At 50.4% G+C, this 20,660-nt stretch overlaps 1 protein-coding gene and 1 long non-coding RNA gene across 5 annotated transcripts in view, besides 2 other annotated features; one reads left to right on the top strand and one right to left on the bottom strand.

The window, feature by feature from the left end:
- LOC105372437 (uncharacterized) overlaps positions 1 to 18,992 on the top strand; it is a 43,757-nt gene extending 24,765 nt beyond the window's left edge. Inside the window, exon 4 of the long non-coding RNA XR_007067299.1 lies at positions 18,487 to 18,992. This is a non-coding gene — a long non-coding RNA (uncharacterized LOC105372437). The remainder of the gene's footprint in view (positions 1 to 18,486) is intronic.
- On the bottom strand, positions 4,093 to 14,918 carry NAPSA (napsin A aspartic peptidase). 4 transcript variants are annotated; one of them, NM_001436336.1, is made up of 10 exons: positions 14,782 to 14,918; positions 11,155 to 11,633; positions 7,788 to 7,929; positions 7,585 to 7,708; positions 7,279 to 7,397; positions 6,557 to 6,756; positions 5,356 to 5,478; positions 5,119 to 5,263; positions 4,627 to 4,725; positions 4,093 to 4,396 (listed from the first exon to the last, which is right to left on the bottom strand). In NM_001436336.1, exons 2-10 carry the CDS (start codon positions 11,235 to 11,237, stop codon positions 4,169 to 4,171), a joined length of 1,263 nt encoding a protein of 420 aa, NP_001423265.1. In that variant the 5' UTR covers positions 11,238 to 11,633; positions 14,782 to 14,918; the 3' UTR covers positions 4,093 to 4,168. The 4 variants fall into 4 exon arrangements, with proteins under 4 accessions (NP_001423265.1, XP_016883001.1, NP_004842.1 ...); XM_017027512.2 differs by lacking the exon at positions 14,782 to 14,918 and having other exon boundaries at positions 7,279 to 7,370; positions 11,155 to 11,255; NM_004851.3 differs by lacking the exon at positions 14,782 to 14,918 and having other exon boundaries at positions 11,155 to 11,255.
- Positions 11,456 to 11,605: an enhancer, noted in NCBI's record as "active region_14983". NCBI's record gives its function as "activates an Ori minimal core promoter by ATAC-STARR-seq in GM12878 lymphoblastoid cells {active_cell/tissue: GM12878}" and the evidence as "EXISTENCE:reporter gene assay evidence [ECO:0000049][PMID:35858748]".
- Positions 14,399 to 14,458: an enhancer, noted in NCBI's record as "active region_14984". NCBI's record gives its function as "activates an Ori minimal core promoter by ATAC-STARR-seq in GM12878 lymphoblastoid cells {active_cell/tissue: GM12878}" and the evidence as "EXISTENCE:reporter gene assay evidence [ECO:0000049][PMID:35858748]".
- Positions 18,993 to 20,660: the final 1,668 nt, after the last annotated feature.

Genomic DNA, 20,660 nt, shown 5'->3' on the forward strand with positions numbered 1-20,660 from the left:
TCCCAAATGTCAATAGTGTCAAGGTTGAGAAACCTTGCTGTATTCATTCCTCAGCCCATCTCATTTTCTTGATTTCAAAATAAGTTGCAGACAACAGTATTCTTCAGTGCATATACTTCACATACCCATTCTTTTAAACAGGTTTTAAACAGCTACTTAGTGTTTCAGAATACAAATGTAACGCTACTTCCAGAACTGATTCTCTACATAGATTGCTCCCCGTCCTTTTTTTTTTTTTTTTTTTTTTGAGATGGAGTTTTGCTCTTGTTGCCCAGGCTGGAGTGCAATGGCATGATCTTGGCTCACTGCAACCTCTGCCTCCCAGGTTCAAGCAATTCTCCTGCCTCAGTCTCCCGAGTAGCTGGGATTACGGGTGTCTGCCACAACACCCAGCTAATTTTTGTATTTTTAGTAGAGATGGGGTTTCATCATGTTGTCCAGGCTGGCCTCGAACTCCTGACCTCGTGACCTGCCCACCTCGGCCTCCCAAGGCCGTATATATATATGGGAGTTTATTAAGTATTAACTCACACAATCACAAGGGTCCCACAATAGGCCGTCTGCACATTGCGGAGCAAGGAGAGCCAGTCCGAGTTCCAGAACTGAAGAACTTGGAGTCCGATGTTCGAGGGCAGGAAGCATCCAGCACGGGAGAAAGACGGAGGCTGGGAGGCTAGGCCAGTCTCTCTTTTCACATTTTTCTGCCTGCTTATATTCTAGCCACAATGGCAGCTGATTAGATTGTGCCCGTCCAGATTAAGGGTGGGTCTGCCTTTTCCAGCCCACTGACTCAAATGTTTTTTTGTTTGTTTGTTTGTTTTATTTTATTTTATTTTACTTTAAGTTCTGGGATACATGTGCAGAACATGCAGGTTTATTACATGGGTAAACGTGTGCCATGGTGGTTTGCTGCACCTATCAACCCGTCATCTAGGTTTTAACCCCCACATGCATTAGGTATTTGTCCTAATGCTCCCCTCCCCCTTTGTCCCCCAGCCCTCAACAGGCCCCAGTGTGCGATGTTCCCCTCCTCAAATGTTAATCTCTTTTGGCAACACCCTCATGACACCCAGGATCAATACTTTGTATCCTTCAATCCAATCAAGTTGACAGTATGAACCATCACAGTCCTTATAGATATTTTCTGTGCATCTGTTCCATATCATCTGTATTAGTCCATTTTGCATTGCAATAAAGGAATACCTGAGGCTGGGTAATTTATAAAGAAAAGGCCAGGTGGGTGCCTCATGCCTGTAACCCCAGCATTTCAGGAGGCTGAGGCAGGAGGACTGCTTGAGCCCAGGAGTTGGAGACCAGCCTGGGCAACAAAGGGAGACTCTGTCTCTAGGAAAAAAAAACAATTAAATTATCTGGGCGTAGTGGTGCATGCCTGTGGTCCCAGTTACCTGGGAGGCTGAGGCAGGAGGATCGCTTGAGCCTGGGAGGTGGAGGCTGTAGTGAGCCATGATTGTGCCACTGCACTCCAGCCTGGGCAACAAAGTCAATCACTCAATCACACATTCACTGTCCTACAATTATGGAAATCAGAAGCCCGAAATGATTTCAGTGCTGAAACTGCCATGTTTGCAGTGCTGTGTCCCCTCTGGAGGCTCTAGAGCAGAATCCACGTCCTTGCCTTCCCCAGCTTCTAGAGGAGCTCTGCAGGAGCCCCTTCTCCCTTCTTCAAAGCCAGCATCCTGGCATCTTGCTTCCGTCTTCACATGAACTTCTGAATCAATCTCCCTCTGCCTCCCTCTTATAAGGACCCTTGTGATGACATTTAGGGTCCACCTGGATGACCCAGGATAATCTCTGTTCTCAAACTCCTTCATTTGATTACATCTGCTAAATCCCTTTCCTCATATAAGGTAGTATTCACAACCCCAGGGATTGAGGTGTGAATATATTTTGGGGGCCACTCTTCAGCCCACAGTGTTGGTAATTTGCTTCCTATCTTAATGCCTATTTCCCCATTCGAGTTTAATTCCTATGAGGGCAAAGATCTTCATCTGTTTAATTCTCCACTGTGTCCCCAGCACCTAGGACAGAGCCTGGCACATAGTGAATAATAAATAATGACCAAGGCAACATGGCAAAACCCCGTCTCCACCGGGCGTGGTGGCTCACACCTGTAATCCCAGCACTTTGGGAGGCCAAGGCGGGCGGACCACCTGAGGTCTGGAGTTCAAGACTGGCCTGACCAACATAGAGAAACCCCGTCCCTACTAAAAATACAAAAATTAGCCGGGCGTGGTGGCACATGCCTGTAATCCCAGCTACTCGGGAGGTTGAGGCAGGAGAATCGCTGGAACCCAGGAGGCAGAGGTTGCAGTGAGCCAAGATGGTGCCACTGCACTCCAGCCTGGGCAACAAGAGCAAAACTCCCTCTCAAAAAAAAAAAATCTCCACAAAATATTTAAAAATTAGTCAAGCATGGTGGCCCACGCCTGTGGTCCCGGCTACACGTGAGGCTGAGGCAGGAGGATCGCTTTCTCCGGGGAGTTCGAGGCTACAGTGAGCCATTACCGCGCCACTGCACTCCAGCTTGGGCGACAGAGTGAGTCCCTGTCTCAATAATAATAACAATAATAAAATAATAATAATAATAATAGTAAAGATCCACTTTGTGCACTCCTTGCTCTGGGGAATTTTTCTGAAACAGTGGACAGTGTCTCTATGATAACTCTCACCACCACCACCACCACCCCCGCTTTGTTTTCTCAGTCAGAGCACTCGATCTGGGCCCTTTCAACTCGCCCCTCATGCTTTCCGTCTGCAGCACCCCATCCAACTTCACCCAAAGCGCCCTTAAGTAGTTTCTGAGAGGCCGTGCCTGCAAATTCCCAATTGGCCACAAGGTGGAGGTGTGGGCCTGTTTTCCCAGCCGCCACCCGTTTCTAGAGCTGGACCCCTGGAACACCAGGCTCTTTCTAGCTTCCCTGCTTCCGCCCTAGCGGTTCCCACCGGCCTGGAATGCCGACTTGCTCGCTCTCTGCATCCCACGGGAAAAGGAGCAGAACAGAGGCTTCCTCCCTGACTCTCCTGCCCGAGCTTACTGGGACCTGAATCTCCCCGTGTTTAGTAGTTTAGCGGTTTGTGATCAGGTCGGCCTCCACCATCAGAGCAGCACACTCTCGAGATGGGGCTCAGGCCTGACTCTTTTCGGGGTCCCCAGAATCGCTCAACACAATTCTTCCAGAAGCCTCGGGATGCGATTAAAGGATTGCCAGATTTTTCGACCGGTCGTTTTGTCGAATCATTTAGTTCTGGGTAGCAAGAGGCTGAGGAGGGGAGAGTGACGTCACCTCCGCGGGTGGGGCAGCACCGCTCCCCGAACCCGGGGGCCTCGAGCTCCCCAGGGGTCTAGGAATCCGGAGGGAGAGAGGAGAAACAGGAGATGAGATCCGGGGGAATGGTATCCTTGCCCCCTTGAACAGGAACTGGTAAACCCTTACCAATTACGGCCAACCCCCACTGCCACCTGTCGCTGCCGTCGCAACCTGTCGCCTCCCACCCATGTTGTGGCTGCGCCCGCCCCCGTCAGGGCGTGACCACGGCGTGGATTACAACGACCGTGATGCTCCACGGCGCCGGGAGCTTTTGACGGAAGGTAGCGTAGGCGAGGGGCTTCATGGGACTCGTATTACAAAACCCCTCACCAGGGTGCGTCCTGGAGAAAAGGGGTGATACCCTTCGCCTCCCTCTTCCTCAACTCCATGGGTACAGGCACAAAGTTTTCTATTATTATTTTTGAGATGGAGTTTCGTTGTTGCCCAGGCTGGAGTGCAATGGTGCGGTCTTGGCTCACTGCAACCTCGGCCTCCCAAGTTCAAGCCATTCGCCTGCCTCAGCCTCCCGAGTAGCTGGGATTACAGGCATGCGCCACCACTCCCGGATAATTTTTTTTGTATTTTTAGTAGAGACGGGGTTTCACCATGTTGGCCAGGTTGGTCTCGAACTCCTGACCTCAGGTGATCCACCCGCCTCGACCTCCCAAAGTTCTGGGATTACGGGCGTGAGACACCGCGCCCGGTCACAAAGCTTTCTCGTTAAAAAGTACGCTCTGAAAAGAAGCAACCCAGGCAGGTTCGCTCAATGGAAATAGTGGATTTTTACTGGGTAGCAGGACCTCCGCGACCACCCGCTGCGCATGCGCTTCACTTGGGCGTCACCCGGGGAACTGCGCCTGCGCAGTCTCTCCCCATCCGAGGTCCGCTCCGCGAGTGCGAGCGCGCGCCAGGCCCACCCGGGCGCTGCTCTTCATGTCCCCGCGGTCGAAGACGGCCACATACGTCCCCAAGAAGACGTCACCGAGGATCCAGAAGGGCCCTGCAGGCGGAGGGACATCCAGGGCCTGGAAACCGGACAAGCAGAGGCGGACGCCATTTCGAGTAGTCTGCAAGGCAACAAGACGACAACTGGGTGTCGCGGCCACAAGGACGGCCATTTGCCTGGGAGCCCGTCCATCCCCCCCACCCTCGGGTTCTTTGATGTTCGCCAACAAACTGCCATCACAGGGAAAAGAAATGTTTCTGTGGCCCCTTCCCTTCCTAGTGACGTCTCTCAGCTCTACCCTCTCAAACCGTCATATGACGTCACTATGGCGTCATGGTGATGGCCACCTACCTGGATGACGTAATCATGGGCCGTGAGGTTAAACCAGACCCCCCCAAGAAGGAAGGAGACTGCGGGGAGCTTTGGGATTTCCGAGCACAGGATGATGTACTGGGGGAGAAGAGGAACTAGTGAAGATGAGAGATTCCTGCTCTGTTCAGTCCCTTCCGTGGCTCCCCAGTGCCATAGGGTAATTTCCCTATTGAGCACCTGGGTACTCAGCGTCCTGTGTGCAGAGGCCCTGCCGCCTAGACTTACGCAGTCCCAAGCAAACCTGCATGATCGTCTCCCTCCACCCGGCCACCATCCGCAGAGTCGCAGTGTAGACACGTGGAAAGTGTCCTCAATTCCTCCACCACCCTCCAGACTATCTGTCACGAAGTCCAGTGCCTGCTGCCCTGGAAAGCCCCTTAAATACTTGCCTCCCACCCTCAGGCCCTTTGATGTTCACTGTCAAACTGCCATCAGCCTTCCCAGCCCGTACCCACCAGACTGGGACCTCACCTCCCCAGCCAGCAAGGGGATTCCCCCAATGGCTGCATGCAGGGCCCGGATCTCCTCAGTGGGTCCTGTGATGAGGGACGTGCCCGTATCCAGGATGGCAGCACAGCCCTTGGCACAGAGAGTCAGCCCTGGGCCCACCTTCACACTGAGGGGGAAGGAGGCAGTCATCAGAGGCAGGGTCCTAGGAGTCCAGGCCCCCAGCCTCCAGCTCCAGAGCCAGGAGACCAAGTCCCTCACCGCTCCATGTGGATCTGCCAGTAGGCAGGGACCGTGACTGGCACGAAGGTGAGGGGTGGGATGTAGTGTGCCGGGTCCGAGCCCCCCAGGACCAGCTCTCCTCCATCAGGCTCTTCAGGGTCCCTGCAGGGGCAGAGTGTAGAGAGTGTAGATGTCAGTGTCACTGGCCCTCCCTCAGCCCTAGGTATTGCCAGGAATGGCACTTCCCACCAACTGGGTTGTTTCTGGAGTTCCTACGGGGTAATGGGATGCAGGAAGGGCCTAGATGTTGGGACTGGAAGCCGGGCAAGAAAAGCATGATGCTTTTCTTGGTGGAAGCTAGAACTTCCTGAAGTGAAGACGAGACTTCATTTGGCTGTGGAAGGTAGAGTTTTGGGGAATTTCCTGAGCTGAATATCATAGTAACCAAGTAGAGCAGTGGTGTCTTGGAATTGGCTCTTGAAGGTGTGACTTGTGCAGGGGTGGGGTGGCTTCCTGAGTAGGAGAAGAGAATTTCTGAATTGCCTGTTGTGATATCTAGAGAGGTGTTAGACTTCCTGAGTTGGCTGAGAGCGATGGGAACAGGGATGGAGACTTCCTGGAAGGTGGAGGAGAGCAGGATCTGCTAGGTGGTTGGTAGAACTGCTAGAGTGGGTTGGATGTCAGGGTAACTGAGTGGGCATAGGATTTTCTGACTGTGTGTGACAGGCCTCTGGGAGGGAAAGTGGAGACTTCTTGGAAACTTCTTGGATGTTGGGTGGGACTTCTGAGCATAATACTGAACTTCCTAGCAGGTGAGTGGGACTTCCTGGATTAAATCGGGCAATTCCTGACTTCTGGTCAGTGTTCTCAAATGGGATTTGAGCATTCTTTGTGAGGAAGAGAAAGCTCCTGAGTATTTTGTTGGGTGGGGCATGGAATTTCCTAGTTTGATTTTGAAACATGGAGCATTCTGAACTGATGGTGGGTTTCCTTAGTATGTCTTAAGTTGTCATTTAAGCTCTGGGACTTCGAATAGGGTTGAGGTGTTTCTTTATAGGGCAGGTGACTTCCTGCATGGAGGATGCAACTTCTTGTATTGAATGGCTGACTTCCTGAATGGACAGTGTAAGTGGGTGACTCTGAGAATGAGAATTCCTGCATTGGGTCAGTGACTTCCTGAAGGAAGACTCTCTTCCTTCTTGGGGATAGGACTCATAGATAGGTGCACACTTCCCAGTACCTGTTGAGGTAAAAGGAGAAGACAGGCTTATCCAATAGCCCCTGCTCCACCAGTACATCCATCGGGGGCCGAACTCCTTCCACAGACAGAATGGGAAAACCGAGGCCCAATATCCCATCAAAATGGGCAAAAGCGAAGACCAGGCTGGGCTCCCAGAGAGCCTCCCCGAAAATCACTGATGCACCCTTGATTCCACCAATCTAGGGGTAGATTGAGATGTGACCAGTTACTTTTGGGAGGACAATAACCACATGTCCTGAGGTCTCCCAAACCAAGGCATGAATCCTAGGTCTGGGGACTTCTGGATGCAAGCCCCAACTTCCTAGGAAACTATGCCTCTTGAGAAGCCCCACCCCTTCACCCAGGAACCCCTTTCTTCTCCTTGAGAAGCCCCACCTCTTCACCCAGGAAGCTCCTCCCCTGCTTGAGAAGCCCCACCTCTTCACCCAGGAAGCTCCTCCTCCCTGCTTGAGAAGCCCCACCTCTTAACCTTGGAAGCTCCTCCCCCCTGCTTGAGAAGCCCCACCTCTTCACCCAGGAAGCCCCTCCCCCTCCTTGTGACGCACCATCCCTTCACTCTGAAAGGCAGGCCCTCCTCCCCACTTGAAAAGCCCCATCCATTGGCTTGGGAAGCTCCTCCTCGAGCCTCTTCCTAAGCCAGATGATCTTAGACAATGGGGTTCTCCCAGGCTCAAGACTTCTGAGAGTCAAAGGCCACTCACAGTCAGCTTGTCCTCGCTCAGGATTCCATCTACCCGCCCAGTTCCATATTGAATGGCAAACTTGGTCCCATTGGCCTGGAAGGAGCTAGAGGCTTTGGGATCAAATCGGTGGTGTAACCCTAGGTTAGAGGTCAGAAAGGTGTCATGGGGGAGGGAATCTCCCCAGTGCCTACTGCCCCTTTGACTTTCTGACCTGTGAGGGCATGATAAAAGAACAGTTCCTCAAAAGCCTCTGAGAAGCTGAGGTCCAGCCCCGCCTCCTCCCTTCACCCCCATTCAGCCTTATTCTCCCACATAGAAGCTCACAGCAGGGCACACTGAAGAAGTGGCATCTCCTGGACGGGACCCAGAGATTGGAGGAGCCAGTGTCAAAGGCAACAGTGAAGTTTTGTGGAGGCGTTCCCAGCCCAATTTCCCCAAAATACTGCACCTGATAGCAAAAGAGGAGAGTAAACGAAGAGTTTGGCTCAAGGGCGCAGGGGTGAGGGCTGTGTGGGGCTGTGACTCACATCCCTGTAGTTCGAGAGAGGTACGAAGATGGGCTTGTCCCCAGGGGATGGGGCCCCCAACTTGGGGAGCTCTGCTGGTTCTCTCCATCCCCTCAGTAGGTTCAGGATCCTGCGTCCAGGTTGGACTCGATGAAGAGGGATGCTGTAGGGAAAGAGGATATTGACAGGAAGCTGCCCTTCTTGGAGAACCTCTAAATAGACTTACCCAAATAGGATATGATGACAAATTCAACATCTCCAAGGCACTACAATAGTAGTCAGTACCAGAAACCCTGCAATAACAACCTCCAGAAAAGCCCATCAAAGATGCCATGATGACAAATATCCCCAAAGACTTTACAAGAGCAAACCATCCCAAACAGACCTTTCCATGTCCAAATCCCTTAAAATAAGCTATTCCCAAGGAATTGACATTCTTAAAGATTTCCCAAGACCCTAACAGAAAACCTAACCTTTGCAAAAGCCCTTGGGTGGTGGCCCCTGCATGCTTCAGTTCGTGAGGTTAGGGACTATTTTCCCCACCCTTGAGGAGAAAAATGTAAGCGTCAAATCTTAATTGTCTTGCTGTGTTGCCCGTGCTGATCTCAAACTCCTGGCCTCAGCCTCCTAAAGTGCTGGGATTACAGAGGAGAGCCACTATGCCCTGTCCGGGTTCCTTTAAACTGTATTTGCAAAAGCAGGAGGCAAACAGGATTTGGCCCTTAAGCTGAGTGTTTGCAACCCTTGACTTAGAGGGCCAATTACAATTCAGGTATCTTAGTTGCTAATTAAGTAGGTCTAGGATGGAGCCGAGAATTTGGATTTCTAACAAGTTCCCAGGTCATGACGATGCTGTTGATACAACATTTGGAGACTCATTTTCTTTGCATTGACTTAGAAAATGGCCATGAGACATTAGGTTCAAAAAGCAGGTTAACAAGCACCATGTGCGGTAATATCTTCGTTCCTGCCTTTAGTCACTCCTTGAAGCACTTGTCACATCACTCACACCTTTCCCGTCACCCCCCATGAGTCAGTCTTTGAGAGGCACGAGAATGTGAAGTGGGGAAAACTCTTCCTGGAAGTGTACACCCCTCCCCCTACCAAGAGTTCCAGGGAATGAAGACAAGAGAGGAGAAAAAGAGAGATGGGGGCGGGGAGGGGACATCAGAGGTAAGGTAGTGGGAAGACTTCTTGCATAGGGTCCCCAAGATTGGATTTCTTTTTCTTCTTTTAAACTTTTTATTTGAAACAGGGTCTCCCTCTGTCACCCAGGCTGGAGTGCAGTAGTGCAGTCAGGGCTCACTGCAGCCTTGATCTCCAGGGCTCAAGTGATTCTCCCACCTCAGCCTCTGGAGTAGCTGAGACTATGGGCACACCACCACACCTGGCTTTTTATTTTATTTTATTTTATTTATTAATTTTTTTTTTAGACAAGGTGTCACCCTGTTGCCCAGCCTGGAGTGCAGTAGCAGGATCATAGCCCACTGCCCCCTCGAACTACTGGGCTCAAGCAATCCTCCTTCCTCACCCTCCTGAACTAGCTGGGACCATGGGTGTGCACCACCACACTGAGCTAATTTTTGTATTTTTTGTAGAGGTGGAGTCTGGCCATGTTGCCCAGGCTGGTCTCAAAACTCTTGGCCTCAAACAAGCTTCCCACCTTGGACTTCCAAAGTGCTGGGTTACAGGTGTGAGCCATGTCTCTGGCCAAAAACATGACTTCTTCAGGCCAGTTTGATGGGCGTGATGTGGGGGAGTCTCAGTTTAAATGTCACATATCTGGGGCTCGAAGATGGGAGGAGTGTGTCACAGGTCTGGAAACCACAGTACCTAATCATCAGAGCTCATAGTAGGGTCTGCAGAGACCTCTCAAAAACATGTCCTGGCCAGGCGCAGTGGCTCACGCCTGTAATCCCAGCACTTTGGGAGGCTGAGGCAGGCAGATCACGAAGTCAGGAGTTCAAGACCAGCTTGGCCAACATGGTGAAACCTCATCTCTACTAAAGATACAAAAAAAATTAGCCGGGCATGGTGACTCACGCCTGTAATCCCAGCACTTTCAGAGGCAGGAGAATGGTGTCAGCCTGGGAGGTGGAGGTTGCAGTGAGCTGAGATCGCGCCATTGCACTCCAGCCTGGGCGACAGGGCAAGACTCCGTCTCAAAAAAAAAAAAAAAAAAAGGCCAGGCGCGGTGGCTTACGCCTGTAATCCCAGCACTTTGCGAGGCTGAGGTGGGTGGATCACGAGGTCAGGAGATCGAGACCATCCTGGCTAACACTGTGAAACCCCATCTCTACTAAAAATACAAAAAATTAGCCGGGCGTGGTGGCGGGTGCCTGTAGTCCCAGCTGCTTGGGAGGCTGAGGCAGGAGAATGATGTGAACCCGGGGGACAGAGCTTGCAGTGAGCCAAGATTGCGCCACTGCACTCCAGCCTGGGCAACAGAGTGAGACTCAGTCTCAAAAAAAAAAAAAAAAAAAAAGTCCTGAGAGGAGGGGGAGGGGTCCTCAATCTAGAGTCTCAGTGTTGTAAGATCTGGGACTTAAAAGGGCTCTGGGACCGGACGCGGGGGCTCACAGCTGTAACCACAGCACTTTTGGAGGCTGAGGCGGAAAGATCACTTGAGGTCAGGAGTTCAAGACAGCCTGGCAAACATGGCGAAACCCCATCTCTACTAAAAATACAAAAATTAGCCGGGCGTGGTGGCATGTGCCTGTAGTCCCAGCTACTTGGGAGGCTGAGGCAGGAGAATCACTTGAACCCGGGAGGCAGAGGTTGCAGTGAGCTGAGATCGCCCCACTGCACTCCAGCCTGGGTAACAGAGCAAGACTCTGTCTCAAATAATAATAATAATAATAAATAATAATAATAATAATAATAATAATAAAAGGGCTCTGGTCAGCCAGGCGCGGTGGCTCACGCCTGTAATCCCAGCACTTTGGGAGGCCGAGGTGAGCGGATCACGAGGTCAGGGGTTCCAGACCAGCCTGGCCAACATGGTGAAACCCCGTCTCTACTAAAAATACAAAAATTAGCTGAGCATGGTGGCGCGAGCCTGTAATCCCAGCTACTTGGGAAGCTGAGGCAGGAGAATCGCTTGAACCCAGGAGGCAGAGGTTTCAGTGAGCTGAGATCATGCCATTGCACTCCAGCCTGGGCAACAGAGTGAGACTCCATCTCAAAAAAAAGAAATCTGGTCTTAAGAGATGTCAGAGTGGAGCCCTTAGGGGTGACAGCCTGGTTTAGAGATCTGGAAAGCTGAGAAAGAAGCTCTAGGGATCCTGGGTGCCAAGTTTGGGGATCACTGAACTGGGAGTCCTAGACTTAAAGGGCAAGAGGCAGAAAATCCCTCCTAAGGTTGGGGTGGTAGATGGGGTCACCATACCGGATCAGTGTGGCCCCGGAAGGCTCCACATTCAGCAGAGGCAGCAGCAGCAGCAGGGGTTGCAGCAGCGGTGGTGGAGACATCGCTGGGGACCTGGGTGTGAACCCAGGTGTCCTGGGGCCTCATTTTCTTTCCCCTGTGACTCCACCCTGTTCATGCCCCACCTCCAGGTTTAGAAGGAGACCAGGACATGAAATCTGTCCGCAGGTGACGCAGTGGGACAAGGATGTTTTTTGAAGATTTGTGCAGAGTATTTTTGTAGGGTTGGCAGAAGTAGCATCCTGTGCTCCTGGTGCTCCTCACTCCCTACTTGGGTGGCAGTGGTGGTGGGGTCTCCTCCACCGTCACCACCTCCCACCCCCCCATCCTTCAGCTGCTGTCAGTTTTACTTTTAACTTTCACATAACTTTTCTGAGACTTATTAACCACAAGTGTTTCCTTGGCCAAGTGGGAGAGACCAGCAGGTATCTGTGAAGGGCCTGGGGGAAGGGAGAAAGGACATGATTAGACACCTGCCCTCACATATGAAGTGGGCCCGCATTTCAGGACCCAGTCTCTTACTGTTTTATTTGTAGGTGAAGTATGTTTCTTGTTGACAACAGATCATTGGGTATTGTTTTTTGTTTGTTTGTTTTTGTTTTTGTTTTTTGGTTTTTTTTTTTTTGAGACCGAGTTTCACTCTTGTTGCCCAGGCTGGGATTACAGGCATGCGCAACCACGCCCCACTAATTTTGTAGTTTTAGTAGAGACAGGGTTTCTCCATGTTGGTCAGGCTGGTCTAGAACTCCCGACCTCAGGTGATCCGCCCGCCTCAGCCTCCTAAAGTGCTGGGATTACAGGCGTGAGCCACTGCACCCAGCTGATTCTCAATTATTTCAATCTCTTTGTTAAATTTATGTGATGGAATCTGAATTCCTTCTGTGTGTTAGCTTGAATTTCTTTGAGTTTCCTCAAAACAGCTATTTTAAATTCTCTGTCGGAAAGGTCACATATCTCTGTTTCTTCAAGGATTGGTCCTTGGTGGCTTATTTGATTTGTTTGGTAAGGTCATTTATTCTGGATGGCCTTGATGCTTATAGATGTTCATTGGTGGCTGGGCATTGATGAGTTATTTATTTATTTATTTATTTATTTATTTATTTATTTATTTAGATGGAGTTTTGCTCTTGTTGCCCAAGCTGCAGTGCAATGGTGTGATCTCAGCTCACTGCAACCTCTGCCTCCCAGGTGCAAGTAATTCTGCCTCAGCCTCCCGAGTAGCTGGGACTACAGGCACCCGATACCACCCTGGCTAAATTTTTTTTTTTTTTTTGAGATGGAGTTTCACTCTTATTGCCTAGGCTGGAGTGTAATGGCGCCATCTTGGCTCACTGCAACCTCTGCCTCCTGAGTTCAAGCGATTGTCCTGTCTCAGCCTCCCAAGTAGCTGGGATTATAGGCGCATGCCAGCTAGTTTTTGTATTTTTAGTAAAGACAGGGTTTCATCATATTGGTCAGGCTGGTCTCGAACTCCTGACCTCAGGTGATCCACCTGCCTCGGCCTCCCAAAGTGCTGGGATTACAGGCATGAGCCACCGCACCCAGCCTACACCCAGCTAATTTTTGTATTTTTAGAAGAGACAGGGTTTCACCATGTTGTCTAGCCTGGTCTCAAACTCCTGACCTCAGGTGATCTTCCTGCTTCAGCCTCCCAAAATGCTGGGATTAGACATGAGCCACCATGCCTGGCCATGTTAGGTATTTATTGTAGTCTTTGCAGACAAGGCTTGTTTGTACCTGTCCTTTTTGGGGAGGCTTTCCAGGTATTCAAAAGTACTTGGGTGTTGTGATCTAAGCCATGTCTGCATTAGGGGGCTCCCCAAGCCCATTAATGCTGTGGTTCTTGCAAACTCATAGAGGTACTATCTTAGTGGTCTTAGATAAGATCCAGAAGATTTATCTGGATTACCAGGCAGAGACTCTTGCTCTCTTCCCTTGCTTTCTCTCAAACAGAGTCAGTCTCTCTCTCTCCCTCTCTCTCTCTCTCTCTCTCTCTCTCTCTCTGTCTCTGTCTCTCTCTCTCTGCTGAGCTACCTGGAGCTGGGAGTGGGGTGACACAAACACCCCATGCCTACTATCACTGGGATTGCGCTGGGTCCTGCCCATGGCCTCCTGTAACCACGACCTACCTGCCTACTGCTTATGTTTGCTCAAGGCCCTTGGGCTCTAAAACTAGCAGGTTCCAAAGGCAGCCATGCTTGCATCCTTCCCTTCAGGGCATCAAGTTACCTCAGGTCCCAGGTGGGTCCAGAGATACAGTCAGTGAGCCAGGGACTGGAGTCAAAACCCTTAGAAATCGGCTGGATGCGGTAACTCATGCCTGTAATCCCAGCACTTTAGGAGGCTGAGGCAGGCGGATCACTTGAGGTCAGGAGTTCGAGGCCAGTCTGGCCAACATGGTGAAACCCTGTCTCTACTAAAAATACAAAAATTAGCCAGGCGTGGTGGTCAGCGCCTGTAATCCCAGCTACTCGGAAGGCCGAGGCAGGAGAATCACTTGAACCTGGGAGGCGGAAGTTGCAGTGAGCCAAGATCGCGCTGCTACACTCCAGTCTGGGCGACAGAGCAAGACTCCCTCTCAAAAAAAAAAAAAAAAAAAAAAGAAACAAAAGAAAGGCTAGGTGCGGTGGGGGTGCGTTTGGGAGGCTGGGGGTGTCATCCCAGCCCTTTGGAAGGCTGAGGCAGGAGGATCGCTTGCGCCTGGGAGTTGGAGACCAGCCTGGGCAACAAAGGGAGACCCTGTCTGTACAAAAAAAATGTAAAAATTATCTGGGCGTAATGGCACACTCCTGTAGTCCCAGCTACTGGGGAAGGTGAGGCTGGAGGATAACTTGAGCCTAGGAGGCTGAAGCTGCAGTGAGCCGTCATCACGCCACTGCACTCCATCCCAGGTGACAGAGTGAGACACTGTCTCAACAGAAATAAATAAATACATAAATAATGGTAAAGATCCACTTTGTGCACTCCTTGCTCTGGGGGATTTTCCTGAAGCAGCCGAACGTGTCCCTGATAACTGTCACCACCCCCCTTTGTTTTCTCAGTCAGAGCACTCGATCTGGGCCCCTTCAACTCGCCCCGCACGCTTTCCGTCTGCAGCACCCCATCCAACTGCACCCAAGCGCCCTTAAGTAGTTTGAGAGGCCGTGCCTGCAAATTCCCAATTGGCCACAAGGTGGAGGTGTGGGCCTGTTTTCCCAGCCAAGATTCCCCAGCCGCCACCCGTTTCTAGAGCTGGACCCCTGGAACACCAGGCTCTCTCCAGCTTTCCTGCTTCCGCCCTAGCAGTTCCCACCGCCTGGAATGCCGACTTGCTCGCTCTCTGCACCCCACGGGAAAAGGAGCAGAACAGGCTTCCTCCCTGACTCCCCTGCCCAAGCGTACTGGGAGATCTCCTGCCGAACACGGCCCGGCCAATGGGACCTGGATCTCCCCATGTCTTGTCTCTCAGGGGGTTGTGACCGAGTGGGCCTCCACCATCAGAGGAGCACAGTTTCCAGAATCGCCCAACACAATCTTTCCCGAATCCCCTCAGGAAGTGATTAGGTAAAGGATTGCCAGATTTTTAAACCCGTCATTTTATTTACTAACCTTGTAAGAAAGGAATTATCGCCCACATTTTACCGGGTTGGGGAGGGGCTGCTGCGGTGCAGCAAGATTAAGAGGAGGCAGCCCAGGTGCACTTGGAGGGGAATTGAACCTGGTTCTTGAAGCTGCAGACACCAAGTAATCAGCCCAGATGCCTCGCATCGTCTTTGCCAGGATTACTTTTGCCCCTGTTCCATTGGTGGGAATCTGTCACGTGGTTGCTCCTGGCTGCAAGGACGACCCGGAAATGTAGTCCAGTTGTGTGTCCAAGAGTGGGGGACCCTTTGGGTGACTCTCAGGCACTGTGGGCCACATCAGACCCCACAAGGCCTCAAGTTCGGACCTGCGTTCCCTCTATGATCTTATATCGCACCTTCCCGAGGTCTCGCATTAGTGTTTTTTTTTTTTTTTTTTTTTTTTTTTTGAGGCAGAATCTCGCTCTGTTCAGGCTGGAGTGCAGTGGCTGTGATCTCGGCTCACTGCAACCTCCGAACCCCCAGGTTCAAGCGATTCTCCTGCCAATTTTTGTAATTTTAGTAGGGACGGAGTTTTGCCATGTTGGCCATGCTGGTCTCGAACTCCTGACCTCAGGTGATCTGCCCGCCTTGGCCTCCCAAAGTGTTGGGATTACAGGCATGAGCCACTGCACCTGGCCTACTCAAAATATTAAACATAGGCCGGGCATGGTGGCTTACACGTGTCATCCCAGCACGTTGGCAGGCTGAGGTGGGAGGATTGCTTGAGCCCAGGAGTTCCAGACCAGCCTGGGGAACATAGTGAGTCTGTCTCTACAAAAGAATTACCTGGGCTTGCTAGCGCATGCTTGTAGTCCCAGCTACTCTGGAGACTGAGATGGCAGGATCACTTAGCCCAGGAGGTCGTGGCTGCAGTGAGCTGTGACTACGCCACCCCACTCCAGCCTAGGTAGCAGAGTGAGACACTGTCTCAAAACAAAACAAAACAAAAAGTTAAACATAGAGTTACTGCATGACCCAGCAATCCCACTCCAAGGTGAAATGAAACATATGTCTACACAAAAACTTGTACATGAATGTTCATAGCAGCGTTGCAGCCAAGAATAGAAACATCCCACCTGTCCATTAACTGGCGAATGGGTAGGTAAAAGGTGGTATATCCATACCATGGACTATTACTGTGCCATAAACAGAAATGAAGTACTGATACATTCTACAAAGTAGATGAACCTAGAAAACGTTATGCCCAGTGAGAGATGCCAGTCACAAAGAGCTACATATTCCAACGATCCATTTATAGGAAATGTCTAGAATAGGAAAATTCCATAAAGTCATATAATTTTTTCTTTTTTTGAAACAGAGCCTTGCTTTGTCACCCAGGCTGGAGAGCAGTGGTACCATTATGGCTCACTGCAACCTCAACCTCCTGGGCACAAGTGATCCTCCCATCTCAGCCTCCTGAGTAGCTGGGACAAGAGGCATTCGCTACCCTGCATGGCTTAGTTTTTAATTTTTTGTAGAGATGGGGGTGGGGGTGTCTCCCTATGTTGCCCAGATTGGTCTCAAACTCCTGGGCTCAAACAATCCTCCAGCATTGGCCTCCCGAAGTGCTGGGGTTACAGGCATGAGCCACCTCACTCAGCCAGATATAGATTAATGGCTGCCTCAAGCTGGAAGAAAAGGGTGGGAGAATTGGGTATAACTGTTTTTTGTTTGTTTGAGATGGAGTCTAGGTCTGTTGCCAGGCTGGAGGGTAGTGGCGTGATCTAGGCTCACTGCAACCTCTGCCTCCTGGGTTCAAGCGATTCTCCTGCCTCAGCCTCCTGAGTAGCTGGGATTTCAGGTGCCTGCCACCATACTCGGCTAATTTTTGTATTTTTGTAGCGACGGGGTTTCGCCTTGTTGGCTAGGATGGTCTCAATCTCTTGACCTTGTGATCTGCCCTCCTTGGCCTTCCAAAGTGCTGGGATTACAGGTGTGAGCCACCGTGGCCAACGGGTATATCTGCTTATGGGAATGGGGTTTCTTTGTGGACTGACCAAAATGTTCTAAAATTGGTTATGGTGGTGGTTGCACAACCCGTGAACTTGCTAAAAACCATTAAATTGTACTTGAAAGTGCTGAATTGTTTGGTGTGTGAACCAAATCTCAATAAAGCTATTACCAAAAAAATTAGAGAATATTGGGTTACTTACAAATGAGAACCTTGGTCCACAGCTACCTTCAGACAACAAAACTGCCAGTGACCGAGTGCTTCTGTATGCCAGGCACTGCGCTTCCGGGATCCTCATACCCTTCATAAGAAATAAGAACAAGAGGCCGGGCACGGCAGCACACGCCTGTAATTCCTGCACTTTGAGAGGCCGAGGTGGGTGGATTGCCTGAGGTCGGGAGTTCGAGACCAGCCTGGCCAACATGATGAAACCCTGTCTCTATTAAAAATACAAAAAATTAGCCGGGCGTGGTGGCAGGTGCCTGTAGTCCCAGCTAGTCAGGAGGCTGAGGCAGGAGAATGGCGTGAACCCGGCAGGCAGAGGTTGCAGTGAGCCGAGATCACGCCACTGTACTAGAGTAAACTCTGTCTCAAATAAATAAATAAATAAATAAATAAGAACAAAGCCGGGCGTGGTGGCTCATGCCTGTAATCCCAGCACTTTGGGAGGCTGAGATGAGTGGATCACTTGATGTCAGGAGTTTGAAACCAGCCTGCCCAACATGGTGAAACCCCGTCTCTACTAAAAACACAAAAATTAGCCGGGCATGGTGGTGCGCACCCGTGATCCCAGCTACTCAGGAGGCTGAGGCAGGAGAATAACTTGAACCCGGGAGGCAGAAGTTGCAGTGAACCAAGATTGGGCCACTGCACTCTAGCCTGGGTGACAAGAGCAAAACTCAAAGAAAAAAGGAAGAACGATTTATCCTATTTACCAGTAGGTCAACCGAGACTGAGTGCAATGTGACTCGTCCCAAAAGTGTTGTAATTCCTCTTCAGCCTATTTCAGGACTCTTGCACTTTTCTAACAGTGGAAACTTAGAACTACTTTAACAGCCACAAGAATCAATACAGGCTGGATGAGAGGCTCATGCCTGTAATCCCGGCACCTTGGGAGGCCAAGGTGGGCAGATCGCCTGAGTCCATGAGTTCAAGAACAGCCTAGGCAACGTGGCGAAACCCCATCTCTAACAAAAATGTAAAAACTTAGCTGGGTGTGGTGGCTCATGCCTGCGGTCCCACATACTCTGGAGGCTGAGGTGGGAGGATCACCTGAGCCCAGGAGGTCAGGGCTGCAATAAGCCAAGATGGCACCACTGCACTCCAGCCTGGGCGACAGAGTGAGATCTTATCTTAAAAAAATAAATAAATAAATAAATAAATATAAATACAGTTCCACCATATCAGGCACCTCATTTGAAACCCACCCTGTTTATGCTTTTACCTCATTTAGTCATAAGAGTAAGGCAACAAGGTCATACTCTTGATCCCGGTGGGCTAGGGGAAGTCCCCATATGCTGGTGTGGGACCTCCACCCCAGCCAATGTCCAGGCTCTTGACACCATCTCGGGAAGGAACTTGAGGACAAGTGGGAAAATACTGAAAGTACAAAGATGTATTGCAAAGTGAAAAGTACACACTCAACAAAGAGGAGTACAGGTGGACTCCAGAGAGAGTCTCCTGCAGGGGGGGTTTGGGGCTGCTACCTTAATGGGTTTCTCTCTTTTTGTTTTGAGACAGTCTTGCTCTGTCCCCAGGCTGGAGTGCAGTGGCACGATCTTGGCTCACTGCAACCTCCGCCTCACGGGTTCCAGCGATTCTCCTGCCTCAGTCTCCTGAGTAGCTGGGACTACAGGTATGTACTATGGATTTCTTTAATCAAGGAGTGGAATATTCATGAAGATTCCTAGAAAAAGGAGATTTTTGAGAACTGTGGTGCCACCCACTTTTACACCAAATATGGGTGTTCCTGTAACCGTCCTGGTGCTGGTGGGTGTGTGTTTATGTTAATGAGCATATAACGAGGTCCTAGGTGAGACCTAGGTCATATGTAGGGCCTTGTTGGGTCCAATGTGTCTTAGCCAGGTTGGTCCACACCTAGGGTTTTCAAGAGTCTTATCAGCCCCCACCTGCTGCAACTATTTCAACAGTTTCCTTTTGCTAGTCATGTGAAACTGCTGCCTGGAATTTTCTATTCTCCTGTGACTACCCTGTGTTATTCCTGTCTCGCTTTTTTTTTTTTTTTTTTTTTTTGAGATAGAGTTTCAGTCTGTCGGTAGGCTGGAGTGCAGTGGCGCGATCTCGGCTCACTGCAACCTCTGACTCCTTGGTTCAAGAGATTCTCCTGCCTCAGCCTCCCAAGTAGTTGGGATTACAGGCACGTGCCACCACGCCCAGCTAATTTTTGTATTTTTAGTTGAGATGGGGTTTCACCATGTTGGCCAGGATGGTCTCCATCTCCTGACATCGTGATCTGCCTGCCTCAGCCTTCCAAAATGCTGGGATTACTGGCATGAACCACTGTGCCTAGCCTCCTGTCTCACTCTTTTTAATTTTTTTATTTTTATTTATTTGTTTATTTATTTATTTATTTTGAGACGGAGTCTTACTCTGTTGCCAGGCTGGAGTGCAGTGGCGCGTTCTCGGCTCACTGCAACCTCCGCCTCCTGGGTTCAAGTGATTCTTCTGTCTCAGCCTCCCAAGTAGCTGGGATTACAGGCACGTACCACCACGCCTGGCTATTTTTTTTGTATTTTTTTTAGTAGAGATGGGGTTTCATGGTGTTGGTCAGGCTGGTCTTGAACTCCTGACCTTGTGATCCACCTGCCTTGGCCTCCCAAAGTGCTGGGATTACAGGCGTGAGCCACCGTGCCCTGCCTTTATTTTTTTATTTTTGAGATGCAGTTTTGCTCCTGCTGCCCAGGGTGGAATGCAATGGCAAGATCTTGGCTCACCACAACCTCTGTCTCCCGGGTTCAATTCTCCTGCCTCAGCCTCCTGAGTAGCTGGGATTACAGGTGCCCGCCACCATGCCCGGCTAATTTTATATTTTTAGTAGAGACCAGGTTTCAGCAAGTTGGTCAGGCTAGTCTCGAACTCCTGATCTCAGGTGATCCACCTGCCTTGGCCTCCCAAAGTGCTGGGATTACAGGCATGAGCCACCATGCCCGGCTTTCTCACTCCTGTTTGCAATTTACAGGCAAGGAAACTGAGGCACGGGGAGGTTAAGGAACTGGGCTCAGTGTTACACAGGAAGGAAGTGACAGAGACACCAGGTTCTGCCATTTCCAACGCTCATGTTAATCACTTGTTTCGCTTCTAACATCCCTAGGTGGAAAATTCCACAATCTCAAACGATGGGCCTGAGTAGACATAATAAGTTACAGAAGAGCATGGATCACATAGTCCCATTTCTTTTTTATAAAGGCATACACATATGTCAGAGGCATTCCAACCACAGCGATTCTGTCTTGAATAGGAGCTTGGTAAAATAAGGCTGAGACCTACTGGGCTGCGTTCCCAGGAGGTTAAGGCATTCTTAGTCACAGGATGAGATAGGATAGGAGGTTGGCACAAGATACGGGTCACAAAGAGCTTGCTGATAAAACAGCATATGCAGTAAAGAAGTCAGCCAGATCCCAGCAAAACCAAGATGGCGATGAGAGTGACCTCTAGCCGTCCTCATGGCTCATTATACACTAATTATAACGCATTAGCATGCTAAAAGTCACACCCACCAGCACGATGACAGCTTACAAATGCCATGGCAACGTCAGGAAGTTCCCCTATATGGTCTAAACGGGGGAGGAACCCTCAATTCTGAGAATTGCCTACCCTTTTCCTGGAAAACTCATGAATAATCCACCCGTTGTTTAGTATATAATCAAGAAATAACTATAAGTATAATCACAGTG

Source organism: Homo sapiens, chromosome 19 (genome assembly GCF_000001405.40).
Source record: "Homo sapiens chromosome 19, GRCh38.p14 Primary Assembly".
In the NCBI taxonomy this organism is placed as follows: Eukaryota; Metazoa; Chordata; class Mammalia; order Primates; family Hominidae; genus Homo; species Homo sapiens.